General features: G+C 43.3%; 1 protein-coding gene across 1 annotated transcript in view, besides 2 other annotated features; it reads left to right on the forward strand.

The window, feature by feature from the left end:
* EPHB1 (EPH receptor B1) overlaps positions 1 to 10,072 on the forward strand; it is a 465,208-nt gene extending 455,136 nt beyond the window's left edge. Inside the window, exon 16 of the mRNA NM_004441.5 lies at positions 8,617 to 10,072. Coding sequence (NP_004432.1) covers positions 8,617 to 8,725 — 109 coding nt within the window. The 3' untranslated portion in view covers positions 8,726 to 10,072. The remainder of the gene's footprint in view (positions 1 to 8,616) is intronic.
* Positions 6,928 to 7,543: an enhancer, noted in NCBI's record as "NANOG-H3K27ac-H3K4me1 hESC enhancer chr3:134976165-134976780 (GRCh37/hg19 assembly coordinates)". NCBI's record gives its function as "activates a minimal SCP1, AML or CMV promoter by ChIP-STARR-seq in primed H9 embryonic stem cells {active_cell/tissue: H9 hESC(primed)}" and the evidence as "EXISTENCE:reporter gene assay evidence [ECO:0000049][PMID:30033119]".
* Positions 7,544 to 8,159: an enhancer, noted in NCBI's record as "NANOG-H3K27ac-H3K4me1 hESC enhancer chr3:134976781-134977396 (GRCh37/hg19 assembly coordinates)". NCBI's record gives its function as "activates a minimal SCP1, AML or CMV promoter by ChIP-STARR-seq in primed H9 embryonic stem cells {active_cell/tissue: H9 hESC(primed)}" and the evidence as "EXISTENCE:reporter gene assay evidence [ECO:0000049][PMID:30033119]".
* Positions 10,073 to 16,769: the final 6,697 nt, after the last annotated feature.

A 16,769-nucleotide genomic window follows, 5' to 3' on the forward strand; every position in this document is an offset into this window, starting at 1 on the left:
CTTTTCTGGCTGCCAGTTCAATATTCTGCTACCTGTCCACCCCAGGGCCTCAGTGGTTCCCAGGCTTTGCTGCACACTGGAATCACCTGAGGGCCTTTAAAAAATATTGATGCCTGGTTCTCACTCCCATACCTTCTGATTAGTTGTGGTAAGATCTGAGCATAAGGGTTTTTTAAAGCTCCTCAGGTGATTCTAATGTGCAGCAAAGTTTGGGAACCACTGGATTAAGGTTGGTAAGGGTAAAATTTCACCTTCTACACTCACAGAAGCTCAGATAATCCTACCTTGGAAATTAACTCTACCCTTCAAACACACACACATACACACACACCGGGGGGACTTCATGGGCTCCGTGGGCTACAACATGTACCGATAGCACATATTGTGGGATCTGGCAGCCTGTAGTACACATTTCTTATGGTAGAAGATTCATTCATCCATCAGTCTGCGAACACGTATTGATCACCTGTTATACAATGGGCACAGTGCAAGGTGCTGGGATTCCCTCCTTGCAGCTGGGACAAACCGGTTGCTGAGTCCCAGGAAAGAGCAGTAGTGATCCACCCCTATAGCTGAGCCCCCAGGGACAGCTTCCTGACATTCCAACAGTTTTCCTGCCAATATTCCTGGAGTCCAGCTCTACCTCTCTGAGGTCTATTTTTTTTTTTTCAGAAATGATGGAGCCACCACTTTCTCCAGGGAGATGGTTTGAATGTGTGTCTAGCTTTCGATCCACTGAACATCAGAATACATTTCTTAAAAACTAGATTAATTTCCTGGTGATGCCAAAAAAAGATGGTTCCTTCCATTAAGAATGACTGTCAAATAGACAGCAAAAATAAATAAATAGAAAAGAAGCACTTACCAGTGGGAAACCAGCTTCCTCATCTTTTAGAGTGAAAAATTGATGCCCCTAGATAATCAGAGGGACTGAGTTCAGGGATAGAAATGGGTGTTTATGAAGACTGGCTACTCCCATTTTCCCACTGTGATTTGACTGCGTATGGGGGCCATTGTCACGTAATCCCCCAGGATCTAAAAGAATTCTCTTAGTCTGAGAATAATCAATGACAAAGATAAGGGGAAGACCAAAAGGAAAGTGAAACTATAAATTAAGGGATTTCATTCAAAGTAAAACATGTCCACACACTATTAGAGCAATTTGATTTGTTTCTTGAGAGGTAAAAGATGGAAAAAGAAACTGAGCAACTTAATAAAATAGATTGTGGGACAATCTGTGAATTCAAAATTCAAGCATGCTTCCCTAAAGTATTTGCCAAAAAGACATGAACACTTTGAGCATCTCAACCAGCAGCATCCCTTGGGAGACTGACTACCAGCTGAAAAGGGCATGGTGTGGGAGAGCCAAGGCATTGTGGACAGAGATCCAGCCAAGCGTTCACCAGGGTGTGATGTGCAGTGTACAAAGCAATCAGCTGTGCTGGGTTCAGGGGGCTTTAGAGGAAATACAGTCAGGACCTTGGAAGAGTTCTGCCAGCATCCCTGCATGGGTGCTGAGAACCAACTTCTCTTGTATTTGAACACTAGCTCCACCACTGCTTACCTACTGTGTGACCTTGAGCACATTACTTAATTTCTCTGAGCCCTACTTGCCTTGTTTATAAATAATTTATAAATTATTATAAATAATAATGCCCATCTCATTAGTGTTTGTGATGGGAGGTTAATGGAATGGCACATGCAAAGTACTTGATCCATTATCTACCCATAGCATGCACACAAAAAAATTGTTACTGTTAAATTTTTTTTTCTGTCCATAGCTTAATTTTATTTTATTTTTATTTTTTAATATTTTTTATTTATTTTTTATTATTATACTTTAAGTTTTACGGTACATGTGCACATTGTGCAGGTTAGTTACATATGTATACATGTGCCATGCTGGTGCGCTGCACCCACTAACTCGTCATCTAGCATAAGGTATATCTCCCAATGCTATCCCTCCCCCCTCCCCCCACCCCACCACAGTCCCCAGAGTGTGATGTTCCCCTTCCTGTGTCCATGTGATCTCATTGTTCAATTCCCACCTATGAGTGAGAATATGCGGTGTTTGGTTTTTTGTTCTCCCGATAGTTTACTGAGAATGATGATTTCCAATTTCATCCATGTCCCTACAAAGGACATGAACTCATCATTTTTTATGGCTGCATAGTATTCCACGGTGTATGTGTGCCACATTTTCTTAATCCAGTCTATCATTGTTGGACATGTGGGTTGGTTCCAAGTCTTTGCTATTGTGAATAATGCCACAATAAACATACGTTTGCACGTGTCTTTATAGCAGCATGATTTATAGTCCTTTGGGTATATACCCAGTAATGGGATGGCTGGGTCAAATGGTATTTCCAGTTCTAGATCCCTGAGGAATCGCCACACTGACTTCCACAATGGTTGAACTAGTTTACAGTCCCACCAACAGTGTAAAAGTGTTCCTATTTCTCCACATCCTCTCCAGCACCTGTTGTTTCCTGACTTTTTAATGATTGCCATTCTAACTGGTGTGAGATGGTATGTCATTGTGGTTTTGATTTGCATTTCTCTGATGGCCAGTGATGGTGAGCATTTTTTCATGTGTTTTTTGGCTGCATAAATGTCTTCTTTTGAGAAGTGTCTGTTCATGTCCTTTGCCCACTTTTTGATGGGGTTGTTTTTTTCTTGTAAATTTGTTTGAGTTCATTGTAGATTCTGGATATTAGCCCTTTGTCAGATGAGTAGGTTGTGAAAATTTTCTCCCATTTTGTAGGTTGCCTGTTCACTCTGATGGTAGTTTCTTTTGCTGTGCAGAAGCTCTTGAGTTTAATTAGATCCCATTTGTCAATTTTGGCTTTTGTTGCCATTGCTTTTGGTGTTTTAGACATGAAGTCCTTGCCCATGCCTATGTCCTCAATGGTAATGCCTAGGTTTTCTTCTAGGGTTTTTATGGTTTTAGGTCTAACATTTAAGTCTTTAATCCATCTTGAATTAATTTTTGTATAAGGTGTAAGGAAGGGATCCAGTTTCAGCTTTCTACATATGGCTAGCCAGTTTTCCCAGCACCATTTATTAAATAGGGAATCCTTTCCCCATTGCTTGTTTTTCTCAGGTTTGTGAAAGATCAGATAGTCGTAGATATGCGGCATTATTTCTGAGGGCTCTGTTCTGTTCCATTGATCTATATCTCTGTTTTGGTACCAGTACCATGCTGTTTTGGTTACTGTAGCCTTGTAGTATAGTTTGAAGTCAGGTAGTGTGATGCCTCCAGCTTTGTTCTTTTGGCTTAGGATTGACTTGGCGATGCGGGCTCTTTTTTGGTTCCATATGAACTTTAAAGTAGTTTTTTCCAATTCTGTGAAGAAAGGCATTGGTAGCTTGATGGGGATGGCATTGAATCTGTAAATTACCTGGGGCAGTATGGCCATTTTCACAATATTGATTCTTCCTACCCATGAGCATGGAATGGTCTTCCATTTGTTTGTATCCTTTTTTATTTCCTTGAGCAGTGGTGTGTAGTTCTCCTTGAAGAGGTCCTTCACATCCCTTGTAAGTTGGATTCCTAGGTATTTTATTCTCTTTGAAGCAATTGTGAATGGGAGTTCACTCATGATTTGGCTCTCTGTTTGTCTGTTGTTGGTGTATAAGAATGCTTGTGATTTTTGTACATTGATTTTGTATCCTGAGACTTTGCTGAAGTTGCTTATCAGCTTAAGGAGATTTTGGGCTGAGACAATGGGGTTTTCTAGATATACAATCATGTCATCTGCAAACAGGGACAATTTGACTTCCTCTTTTCCTAATTGAATACCCTTTATTTCCTTCTCCTGCCTAATTGCCCTGGCCACAACTTCCAACACTATGTTGAATAGGAGTGGTGAGAGAGGGCATCCCTGTCTTGTGCCAGTTTTCAAAGGGAATGCTTCCAGTTTTTGCCCATTCAGTATGATATTGGCTGTGGGTTTGTCATAGATAGCTCTTATTATTTTGAAATACGTCCCATCAATACCTAATTTATTGAGCGTTTTTAGCATGAAGGGTTGTTGAATTTTGTCAAAGGCCTTTTCTGCATCTATTGAGATAATCATGTGGTTTTTGTCTTTGGCTCTGTTTATATGCTGGATTACATTTATTGATTTGCGTATATTGAACCAGCCTTGCATCCCAAGGATGAAGCCCACTTGATCATGGTGAATAAGCTTTTTGATGTGCTGCTGGATTCGGTTTGCCAGTATTTTATTGAAGATTTTAGCATCAATGTTCATCAGGGATATTGGTCTAAAATTCTCTTTTTTTTGTGTGTGTCTCTGCCTGGCTTTGGTATCAGAATGATGCTGGCCTCATAAAATGAGTTAGGGAGGATTCCCTCTTTTTCTATTGATTGGAATAGTTTCAGAAGGAATGGTACCAATTCCTCCTTGTACCTCTGATAGAATTCGGCTGTGAATCCATCTGGTCCTGGACTCTTTTTGGTTGGTAAGCTATTGATTATTGCCACAATTTCAGATCCTGTTATTGGTCTATTCAGAGATTCAACTTCTTCCTGGTTTAGTCTTGGGAGAGTGCATGTGTCAAGGAATTTATCCATTTCTTCTTGATTTTCTAGTTTATTTGCGTAGAGGTGTTTGTAGTATTCTCTGATGGTAGTTTGTATTTCTGTGGGATCGGTGGTGATATCCCCTTTATCATTTTTTATTGTGTCTATTTGATTCCTCTCTCTTTTTTTATTAGTCTTGCTAGCGGTCTATCAATTTTGTTGATCCTTTCAAAAAACCAGCTCCTGGATTCATTAATTTTTTGAAGGGTTTTTTATGTCTCTATTTCCTTCAGTTCTGCTCTGATTTTAGTTATTTCTTGCCTTCTGCTAGCTTTTGAATGTGTTTGCTCTTGCTTTTCTAGTTCTTTTAATTGTGATGTTTGTTAGGGTGTCAATTTTGGATCTTTCCTGCTTTCTCTTGTGGGCATTTAGTGCTATAAATTTCCCTCTACACACTGCTTTGAATGCATCCCAGAGATTCTGGTATGTTGTGTCTTTGTTTCCGTTGGTTTCAAAGAACATCTTTATTTCTGCCTACATTTCGTTATGTACCCAGTAGTCATTCAGGAGCAGGTTGTTCAGTTTCCATGTAGTTGAGCGGTTTTGAGTGAGATTCTTAATCCTGAGTTCTAGTTTGATTGCACTGTGGTCTGAGAGATAGTTTGTTATAATTTCTGTTCTTTTACATTTGCTGAGGAGAGCTTTACTTCCAAGTATGTGGTCAATTTTGGAATAGGTGTGGTGTGGTGCTGAAAAAAAGTGTTTATTCTGTTGACTTGGGGTGGAGAGTTCTGTAGATGTCTATTAGGTCTGCTTGGTGCAGAGCTGAGTTCAATTCCTGGGTATCCTTGTTGACTTTCTGTCTCATTGATCTGTCTAATGTTGACAGTGGGGTGTTAAAGTCTCCCATTATTAATGTGTGGGAGTCTAAGTCTCTTTGTAGGTCACTCAGGACTTGCTTTATGAATCTGGGTGCTCCTGTATTGGGTGCATATATATTTAGGATAGTTAGCTCTTCTTGTTGAATTGATCCCTTTACCATTATGTAATGGCCTTCTTTGTCTCTTTTGATCTTTGTTGGTTTAAAGTCTGTTTTATCAGAGACTAGGATTGCAACCCCTGCCTTCTTTTGTTTTCCATTTGCTTGGTAGATCTTCCTCCATCCTTTTATTTTGAGCCTATGTGTGTCTTTGCACATGAGATGGGTTTCCTGAATACAGCACACTGATGGGTCTTGACTCTTTATCCAATTTGCCAGTCTGTGTCTTTTAATTGGAGCATTTAGTCCATTTACGTTTAAAGTTAATATTGTTATGTGTGAATTTGATTCTGTCATTATGATGTTAGCTGGTTATTTTGCTTGTTAGTTGATGCAGTTTCTTCCTAGTCTCAATGGTCTTTACATTTTGGCATGATTTTGCAGCAGCTGGTACTGGTTGTTCCTTTCCATATTTAGCGCTTCCTTCAGGAGCTCTTGTAGGGCAGGTCTGGTGGTGACAAAATCTCTCAGCATTTGCTTGTCTGTAAAGTATTTTATTTCTCCTTCCCTTATGAAGCTTAGTTTGGCTGGATATGAAATTCTGGGTTGAAAATTCTTTTCTTTAAGAATGTTGAATATTGGCCCCCACTCTCTTCTGACTTGTAGGGTTTCTGCCGAGAGATCTGCTGTTAGTCTGATGGGCTTCCCTTTGAGGGTAACCCGACCTTTCTCTCTGGCTGCCCTTAACATTTTTTCCTGCATTTCAACTTTGGTGAATCTGACAATTATGTCTTGGAGTTGCTCTTCTCGAGGAGTATCTTTGTGGCGTTCTCTGTATTTCCTGAATCTGAACGTTGGCCTGCCTTGCCAGATTGGGGAAGTTCTCCTGGATAATATCCTGCAGCGTGTTTTCCAACTTGGTTCCATTCTCCCCATCACTTTCAGGTACACCAATCAGACGTAGATTTGGTCTTTTCACATAGTCCCATATTTCTTGGAGGCTTTGCTCATTTCTTTTTATTCTTTTTTCTCTAAACTTCCCTTCTCGCTTCATTTCATTCATTTCATCTTCCATTGCTGATACCCTTTCTTCCAGTTGATTGCATTGGCTCCTGAGGCTTCTGCATTCTTCACGTAGTTCTCGAGCCTTGGTTTTCAGCTCCATCAGCTCCTTTAAGCACTTCTCTGTATTGGTTATTCTAGTTATACATTCTTCTAAATTTTTTTCAAAGGTTTCAACTTCTTTGCCTTTGGTTTGAATGTCCTCCCGTAGCTCAGAGTAATTTGATCGTCTGAAGCCTTCTTCTCTCAACTCGTCAAAGTCATTCTCCATCCAGCTTTGTTCCGTTGCTGGTGAGGAACTGCGTTCCTTTGGAGGAGGAGAGGCGCTCTGCTTTTTAAAGTTTCCACCTTTTCTGTTCTGTTTTTTCCCCATCTTTGTGGTTTTATCTACTTTTGGTCTTTGATGATGGTGATGTACAGATGGGTTTTTGGTGTGGATGTCCTTTCTGTTTGTTAGTTTTCCTTCTAACAGACAGGACCCTCAGCTGCAGGTCTGTTGGAGTACCCTGCCATGTGAGGTGTCAGTGTGCCCCTGCTGGGGGGTGCCTCCCAGTTAGGTTGCTGGGGGGGTCAGGGGTCAGGGACCCACCTGAGGAGGCAGTCTGCCCGTTCTCAGATCTCCAGCTGCGTGCTGGGAGAACCACTGCTCTCTTCAAAGCTGTCAGACAGGGACATTTAAGTCTGCAGAGGTTACTGCTGTCTTTTTGTTTGTCTGTGCCCTGCCCCCAGAGGTGGAGCCTACAGAGGCAGGCAGGCCTCCTTGAGCTGGGCTCCACCCAGTTCGAGCTTCCCGGCTGCTTTGTTTACCTAAGCAAGCCTGGGCAATGGTGGGCGCCCCTCCCCCAGCCTGGCTGCTGCCTTGCAGTTTGATCTCAGACTGCTGTGCTAGCAATCAGGGAGACTCCGTGGGCATAGGACCCTCCGAGCCAGGTGTGGGATATAATCTCGTGGTGCGCCGTGTTTTAAGCCTGTCGGAAAAGTGCAGTATTCGGGTGGGAGTGACCCGATTTTCCAGGTGCCGTCCATCACCCTTTTCTTTGACTAGGAAAGGGAACTCCCTGACCCCTTGCGCTTCCCAAGTGAGGCAATGCCTCACCCTGCTTCGGCTCGTGCACGCACCCACTGACCTGCACCCACTGTCTGGCACTCCCTAGTGAGATGAACCCGGTACCTCAGATGGAAATGCAGAAATCACCCGTCTTCTGCGTCGCTCACGCTGGGAGCTGTAGACTGGAGCTGTTCCTATTCGGCCATCTTGGCTCCTCCAATCACTGTTAATTAAATTTTTATCATCATTGTGTTTGCAGTGGTTTCTCTATTTTTATGAAATGCTTTCACATAGGTTTAAATGAGATAGTGTATGGCACGTGGGATGCATTCAAGCAGTGTTATGTATTATTATTAACCTAGGAAGAATGCATGGGTCTAGCACAGGTCAACTATAAGCCATGAACTTGTTCTTATTAATCCAATTCAGTGCTCTATCCTGGACATATTCCTTGGGTTCCTGATTGGGCAGATATTTTAGTTATTTTGAGCCCACTCTTCTTAAAAATGCATACATTAAAATTCACATGGAGGCAGCAAATGGAAACTCAGGGGAAAACATCAGAAGACCAGGTGAGCCCCACATCTTTTCAGTCTCAGTGGGTGATCACTAATTTAGGCAGAAAACTCCACAGAATAACTGAAGCCCCGTATAGTGTGCACTTGGAGTGTTAAAAAATAGCAGAGGAAAATTCCAGTCCATCTGAGGGTCAGGAGACAATGAAGGGGCTGCCTTAGAGCCCGTACATAAGGAACACACCCCTGGAACAAGGCACAGCACTCCCAGGATTGCCTAAGCTGGAGGAAGCATTAGAGAAGAAGGAGAAAGTGAGCAGGAAAATCTCTAATTGGAAGTTTGCCAAAAATTTGGGTAAACTTAAGCTAGTTGGATTTTTGTAGCATGGCTACTTCCCAAGAACATGGCTTTAGTGATGAGTTTTGATCTGCGAAAAGCTAACCTAACACTAAAGTGACTTCTTTTCTGGCTCTTTCCTCCTAGAGACCTCCTGAGAATAGGCATCACCTTGGCAGGCCATCAGAAGAAGATCCTGAACAGCATTCATTCTATGAGGGTCCAGATAAGTCAGTCACCAACGGCAATGGCATGAGAACTCTTGTTTCTTGGGGAAGGAGAGGAGGGAAAAGGACCAGGGTCAAGGGGGACCAGAGGTTGACCACTGTGGAATGTACTGGAGAGACTGGCTTCTCAGCTGAGGAATGCATTTCCATCAGTGAAGAATCAACCGGACCTGTTGCTAGCAGGCAATCTCCATTTCTCAGTGACAGAAGCATGTTTGAGATGCCGTGGGAAACCAAATATATAATAATAAAAATATAAAAAGGTGATGTTCAACAGAAGTGAAGACAAAACAATATGCATCAGGAGAACAAGAGTAAACCCAGCTCCCATTCTCAGTGGGCTGCAGTTGCCCAACCACAGGAAGAAAGGGAAGGAGGTAGAGGGAAGAAACAGAAGCAGTGTTCCATTTTCTTCCTCACCAATGACATTCTTTTCTTTTCTCCTTTCGTACTCCTCCCTGAGAGTCCCCTCCCTTCTCCCACACTCGTTTCCCTTTGCTCATGACTCCTGTAGGGAAGTTTCTTCAAACAAAACCCAGCTCCTGAGTCTCCAGATGTTGTTCTGTCAGTTGCCAAAGGACTTTGCTGACCACTGCATGGGGATCCAACCAATTCAATTAATGTCTTCATATTGAAGAAGAGATGTACCTTCAATTGAAAACCTCGTTTTTCTTTTGTTTGCATTTTCTGCAAAAAGGAAAAAGAAACCACAAATTGGGGAAAAAAAAAGAAGAAAAACCTGTTTCCGTGTGCAAAAGCACACATATGTATGTCTGTGTTATAAAATGACTGTGCTTGTTCGTAACAGATGCAAACAAGAAAGAAGAACTGGGAAGTCTTTGTCCCTAGGAAATCCAAAGGGGCTGGAATATGGTGTTGGTTTGGCTTTCTGGTTGGCCCAATCGGCCTATTGGCTCAATGGGAAGAGAGGAGAGGGAGAAAAATAAAATGAAAGGAAAAAAAAAAGTTTGCAAATTCAGACAGGAAACAGGTGAGTGGTTTGAATTGGATGCAGTGTGGGCCATCCTGGAATGATACTGACTGATTAATTATTCCTGATAACATCTCAAGAAAAGGAGAAGGAAAGTGTTTCTGGAGAATGTTCTTTCACATCACTGGAATCTGCAATTCAAGAAGTGACAAGGGAGAATTCTTGCTTTACCTATGGACTGGCTTAAGCCGTGTGGCATCCGAGGAATGTTTCAAATGTGTCTGTGTTTCTCTTTACATTCCTTGTTGTACCTCATTGTTCAATTCACTTTTGTAAATTCCACCTAACATTTAATTATTTTAAATTTCTCCTTTTACCTTAATCTCCTTGCTAATTTTATCTGTCTAATTAAAAAGAGCAGAAGCATGTCTGGGTTTACGTAAAATGGTGTCAGAGTGTGTATCCCTGGATCCCAGAGGGTTGTCCCCAAATTTCAGGAGAATCCTTAACAACTGTCCTTCTTCTTTCTAATGTGGGAGGGAGGGAACACATCCTTGACCCCATGAATGCCAAGAAGCAGAATGTAGTAAACTCTCTGGCACTGACGTGATCCAAAGGAAAAACTGAATAAATAAGGCTTAAGAAGTCGCTGGCAAATAAACATAAACAATCACCATGAATACACTATCAACCCTGATTTTAGTTTACGCACTGCATTTGAGAAGTCCACATCCAGGCCAATTTTGTAAATGTAGACTGCTTGCTGTGGTTTATCTATGAACATGCAGTTGGGAGTGAAGAGATATGAGGCAGTGAAAGGTGTTATGGTTGCCAAGTAGCTCATTTAATACATGCTTACACTGATAATAGCCTTTTCCCCTAGTCATTGTTAACTTTGATATGGGGTGGTTCTTACCTTCTAAAATCACCGGCCAAGATTCCCCGAACAATTAACCCCTTCAAAGTGGTCCACAAGCCTGGGGGTACAGCATTAATTCAGTGGAGCTCATCTTAAATCACCATCCATGGCTGAACCCCTGGAGAATGGAAGTGGATGGACAGAACTCCTCTCAGCAAGTTTGCCTGAGGCTGCAAAGGACCCCAATCCAACCATGCAGGTAGAAGAGAAAATTTCCCTTTATTAATTGCTTACCAATTCCATGCACAATTTACTAATTACCCCAAAGACCCCGATCCATGAGTATCATACAAGTCTAGGCAATTTGGCTAATCTATTCTCAATTTTCCACAGGAATGAATTTTAATCTGTCACTAAAGTCCTCTGGCAGAATCTTTAACCCCGAATTCTCACTACCGCCTCCACCAATGCCAACTCATCTTCTGGTTGTGGACAAAGCAGGGTCAAGGTGAAAGTCCTGTTAAACCCTTTGGCTTGGTTTCACCATAGATCCCAGAATGGAGACAGCAAGAATCCAAAGTGCACAAGAGGAAAGCATGAGGGGTCAGCAGAGCCAAGGCCAGGGTGCCTCGAGGCACAGTTTTCAGTGAGGTGGGCACGACCAAGATCTGGACACCCCCAACCCCCACAGATGCCCTGCACAAGGCCCCACCCCTACACCCGGGATGAACTACAGGAACACATGAAGCATGAAGGGAAGGAGATGTGTCACTAGTGAGTGAGACCTCACACATTACCTCTGCAGCACTGGGCCAGTCATGAACCTCTCTGAGCCTCAGTTTCCTCATCTGTGTAATAGGAAAATAATACCTACCTTCAATGAAGAGTACCTAACATTCCTGAGTAGGTTCTCTATGCCAGGCACTTATCTAACTGCCTTACATGCATGAAATCTCTTCCTCACCATAACCTTGTGAAATAGTAGCAGGTAATTTATTGTTCCCAATTTTGGATGAGGAAACTGAGAGACAAAGGACCTTCCCAGAAAACACAATGGTGGAGTCAGGATTTTGATTCAGGCAATCTGACTCCTTGCTTTTAACCACTTACCCCAGTGGGTCTCACACTTGAGTGTGCATTGGTATCACCTAGAGGTATTGTTAAAACAAAGATCACAGGCCCCACCTTTGGGCTCCTGATTCAGCAGGTCTAGAGTGGAACTGGAGAACATGCACTTCTCACAAGTTTCCAGGTGCTGCTGATGCTGCTGGTCCAGGGACCATGCTTTGAGAACCACTGTATTACCCCAGCCTACCTTCCTGAGAATTAGTGATAATAGACATAAAGCTCCTGCTTCAGGAAATAATAGTGATCGAGGTTCTTGAGATACCCAGAAAGAAGGGAACAAACCCTCACACTTTTGGCATGAAGTGATTGATGGGAAAGGCTGGTTCGCATCTTGTGTCTCTTCCACTGGCACATTTAGCTCCAGGGGGGGCTTTCCTAACACCTTCAAAGAAGCTCTGTGGGGAGAATTATGTCAGTGAGACCCCAATGCTCTAAATTTCAGCTACATATGCTGCCTCATCATCTCACAGAAGACTAAATCCAATTTGGACCCTTAGTTAAAAACACACTTTGCACAAGGGTCAGTGGCCCATAGCCCTGAGAACCAGGCTAAAGAGATGGAACCTGCAGCCATGCTGTGCAGCCCAGGGTGTGGCTCACAGAAAGGGGACTGCTCAGCCAGCACACCTGCAGCCACTGGGAGTCCGGTGGGCGGAAGTCACACGGGGGCAAGTGGGAGATGTTTAATTAATGTTCCCGGGTCAAGGGTAATGGGAAAGGAGGTGATTTGTGGAGAATCCTTGGAGATTATGCCCCACCTTTCCACACCCTCTCCCTGCCCCTTCCAGCACTCAAAGACATGAATGACTGGTAGAGAGGTAGATAAATCTACAGACTGTATGTTTATTGTATCACCTGGGTGTCCAAATACATTCACACACTACTGAAATTATGTGCTTCTTCCTGCCTTCCACCTCTCCATATGTCTCCTTCCCACCACGTTACATGTGGAGCCAGGTCACTGGATTCTTGCCGAGGCCACCTGGGATAATTGAAATTAAATGAGAACGTAAAGTTTTCCTTGACCATGCACTTAAGAAGAGAGCAGAGAAATTAGTGAGGGTTGAGGAATAGGACTTTAGGAATATCGGAGGGCAGGAAGACTGAGACATAGAGCAGGAAGAAGAGAATCTACAAAGTATCAGTTAAAATGAAAGGTTCTAACAGTTCCCTCGCGTTCTAAGAAGGCCTTTTCGGGGAGCCTGGGAATTTCATCATCTTTTCAGAAATATTAGTGGCTCTGGCACCAACTGGCTGGGGGCATGGTGAGGTCACTGTCAGTGAAGCAAGGGGGAAGGCACAGCCATGACAGGGATCAGCCACAAACAGGCACCATCCAGAGCACTCCAAGGACACTCAGTGCTAAAAGAGGTCTTAAGATTCCTATCAGCCCGAGTTCTGCATTGGCTGAGACTTGCAGTCCGTGTAGAAGTCATAGAGCCATTTCTGAAAGTAGTGAGAGGTTTTGTATTGTTCAAGATATCATTGGGACAGCAGGCAGGAGCATAGTAGAAGGGAATCCCTGAGGTCACAGAAAGGTGGCCAAAAGAGGAAGGGTGTGTCTGGATCACACTGGAAGGTCACTCGAGTTGACTGAGGTCCAATGGCAACTATGTTCACCACTAGGGAGTCTCTTGAGACCAGCCATTTCCAAATAAGAACAGTTATACAGAGGTCTGAGAACAAATTATCAGTCCCTCTCAGAGAGTGCAAGCCCTGGTAGGGGGTGGAAGGATGTGTTCTGCAGACCTGATTAAGAGTGGATGGGATGGATAGACCTCCATCACTCACCGGGGAAAAAGGAGAGCTCTCCCTCCTGCATCCCTCCTGGGCTGGCCTTGTTATCACTGGTCCTTGAGGGGTTCTCATGCCGCTGTGAGTCATGACTTAGCACATAGTATCCTAACAGAAGCTTGTGGTAATTCTCCAAATGAAAGTGGCCACAGGGCACATCCTACTCACCTATGTACTCAGCACTCAGCACACTGTCTGACACACGGAAGATGCTCAATAAATGTGTGGTGACTAAAATAAGTTTGAATTGAGAAAGTTTAACATGTCATTATTTCACCTACAAAAGTCCATGACCTTAAAGAGCATGCTTTAAAATAATTTAATCCCTGGGTATTTAGTTGGAATCTTTCTCAATTACTCTAACTGCTATCAATCGTAGCCTATTCTAATTTTAGTTTTGTGAAGTTTAAAATGCTCCTTTTAAACCCTGTTTGAATCTTTAAAATAATGTCACAGTTTTCCCCAGAGCCCAAGCCTGGGGTGAGGCAGCCTCCCACTGAGTGTCAGTCATCGTGCAAAGGCCTTGAGATGTAGGAATGAATTTGATGTTGTCCCTGGTACAATGGCAGCAAATTCGACGGACATTGAAGAGCAGAGGTGAAGGATGGCCCAACCCTCTGAGAGCAGAACCAGGGCTGTGTCCTGCTGGAAGATGTCTGGCTGAGCGGAGAGGATGGGCAGCACTTCTCTGGCCAGTGAAACTTCATTGGTGTTTTGTACAACTACCTCTACTCTAAGGCTTTCTTCCAAGAGTTGTTTGTCCTTTCTAAAGCCACTATTACTCTAAGAATTCTTGTGGCCTCCCTTTCACCAGAAGAAAAAAAAATGTTGAAATAAGAAAACAAAACAAAATTATGGGCAAATGAGCTACTTCTAAGCAGCTGAGAAATACTGTTAAATGAGAGAAGTTCTCTTTACCCCAAGAAAACTTTGGTTTTCTCTTCTGGTCTTATTTAAATTCATATTTGCATGTACATGAGCAACTGCTATATTCTGAAAATGGCTTTCTGACAGAATACAATGACAAGTAAATTTCAACTACAATTTTTATGGCAGAACTCAATGTTGTAAATAACTCCAATGGGAAAATGAAGAGGGCTATGGGAGCATAGAGGCGGCACTACCATTGTCCCAGGCAGTTAAAGAAGGCAACCCCAGGGTGGTCTGCTAAACTGGAACCTGAGGAATGCAAGGAGTTATCAAGTTGAGGGGGTGATGTCAGTGGTGGAACTCAAATTGTAGGTAGAAGGAACAGCAAGGGCCAAGGTTCAGAAGCCAGAGAGTACATGACGTGTTTGTGGGCTCACACACTGCTGGAGAGGCTGGAGTATACAGTGCTCCCTCTGAGCAGCTGGAGGGGTAGCAGGGGCTAGAGCATGATAAGGAATCCAGGTATTACTCTGAGTGTAAGCTGTGGAAAGTAGGTTGAAGCAAGGGAGTTATATTTTATACAAATCATTCTGGCCACAAAATAGAAAACCGAATGGCAAAAGTTGATTCAGGGAGACTAGTTGAAAGCCTGGTGTAATAATCTCAGCAGATGATGGCAGCCGGGGTGAAGGCGTAGAAGTAGCAGTGGGGATGGAGAAAAGTGGATTGATTCAAGAAATAAGAAGGAGGCAAGAGCAGCAGAAGGGAAAGGGGGATTGGCTTTCAGGGGTGAGGGAAGGAAGAGTTGAGGATGACACTCCAAATTTCTGATTTGGGAAAATGGGTGGATGTTGATACCATTCACTGACATAGAGAATACAAAAGGAGGAAGAAATTGTGGGAGAGGGGGACAATACGAATTCGAGTTGCCTATGAGCCATTGGATATAGGGCTGCATAATTCAGCAAAGAGATTTGGGCTGATGAAATAGATTTGGGAGCCATCCTTTGTCTAGATGGTAATTAAAGCCACAGGAGTAGAGGAGTTTACTGCATGAGAATGTGAGTGGAGAGAGAAGTGAGCCCACATGGGACCCTGAGAAACAACTATATTTAACAAATGTCCAGGCAAAGGAAGGCTCACAGAGGAGTCTGGACAGAGTCACTACAGAGAGAGAGAAAAATCAGGAATGTGCAGTGTCCATGGAGCCAATGGGAAAAATCTCAGGGAGGGAATGGTGGTCCCGATTCCCAGTGTTGCCAAAAAGGGTTAGTATTAGGTAAGGATTAAAAACTGCCCATGTGTTTAGCCACAGGAAGGCCTGGGTGACCATAGTAAGAGCAGTTTCAGCAGAGAGGTGTTGGTAGAAGATGCTGGCTGAGTCGAGGAAAGAGAGAACATCACAGTCTTTCAAAAAGAGTGACTTTGAAGAGGAGAAGAAAAGTAAGGATGTAGCTGGAGGCTCTTTTCGGTGGTTGTTATTTTGTTATTTTTTAGTGGGAAAGACTTGAACATGTTTAAAAGCTAATGAAAAAGATTCCACAGAGAGAGAAAAAGAGAAAGAGGATAATTGAGAGGGTCAGACCCCAAGAAGGTAGGGAGTTCAGGTGGAGGGATGGTATGGCTTAAAGTGAAGCAATTCCAATTTGGTTTGGAGGATGAATAAAGGAAGCATGGCATGAGTTCCTGGCAGAGTTCAACCTCAACTTCCAATTTCCTCACAGTCTAATCACTTAGTTCCCACAACCTCTTGTGATGAAGAGCCGTGATTGAACTCACAGACCTTGCCATGGCAATGTGAGAGTAATCAGGCAAGCACACCCATTTCTAATGAAATGGGAGAGTGGGCAATGAGAGGATCTAGTGAGAAAGGAAGATGAAAACATCACAGGCTCTTCTCCTGCTCAGAAGCCCTCAGTGGCTACCCAATACCAGTTTCTGGTCATGCCCACCTCTCCAGGAAATGAAGGCTGCAGAAAGTGTCCCGTGTCTAAACCGTATGGCTAAAATGAACTGCTTCCAGTTCTGAGCAGCTTGTCCTCCTTTTGCTAGATTGTTGTGGCTCTGTGTTGACTCTTGGAGATCTCCCTCACCCCCACCCTGAAGCAATTGCCTTCCTCCTCCAGCATACACTAGGAAAGGTCTGGACCCAGGAGGCTGAGCACACAAGCACCTAACCCCAAATGCCAGTGGAGTATGGCATGCCAACTGGACTTCTGTGTGATCATAGACACCTCAGGGATCTCTGACCAGAGCCAAGATGTTTTCAGAGAAGAAAATGCTGATTAGGGCTCCTGTACCAAGTTTGGGTATAAGGTGACACTTATACCTTACATTTATAAATGTAGACATTTCCAGCTGTCACCCTTATACCTGAACTTAGTACAAGAGCCCTAATCAGCATTTTCTTCCCTGAAAGTAAAGGGAGTCTTCTCTTCTTAGTGGATCTTACATTCTTCTTAGAATGTGAAGGGAATCTTTCTACCAGCTA

Source organism: Homo sapiens, chromosome 3, assembly GCF_000001405.40.
Source record: "Homo sapiens chromosome 3, GRCh38.p14 Primary Assembly".
Lineage (NCBI taxonomy): Eukaryota > Metazoa > Chordata > Mammalia > Primates > Hominidae > Homo > Homo sapiens.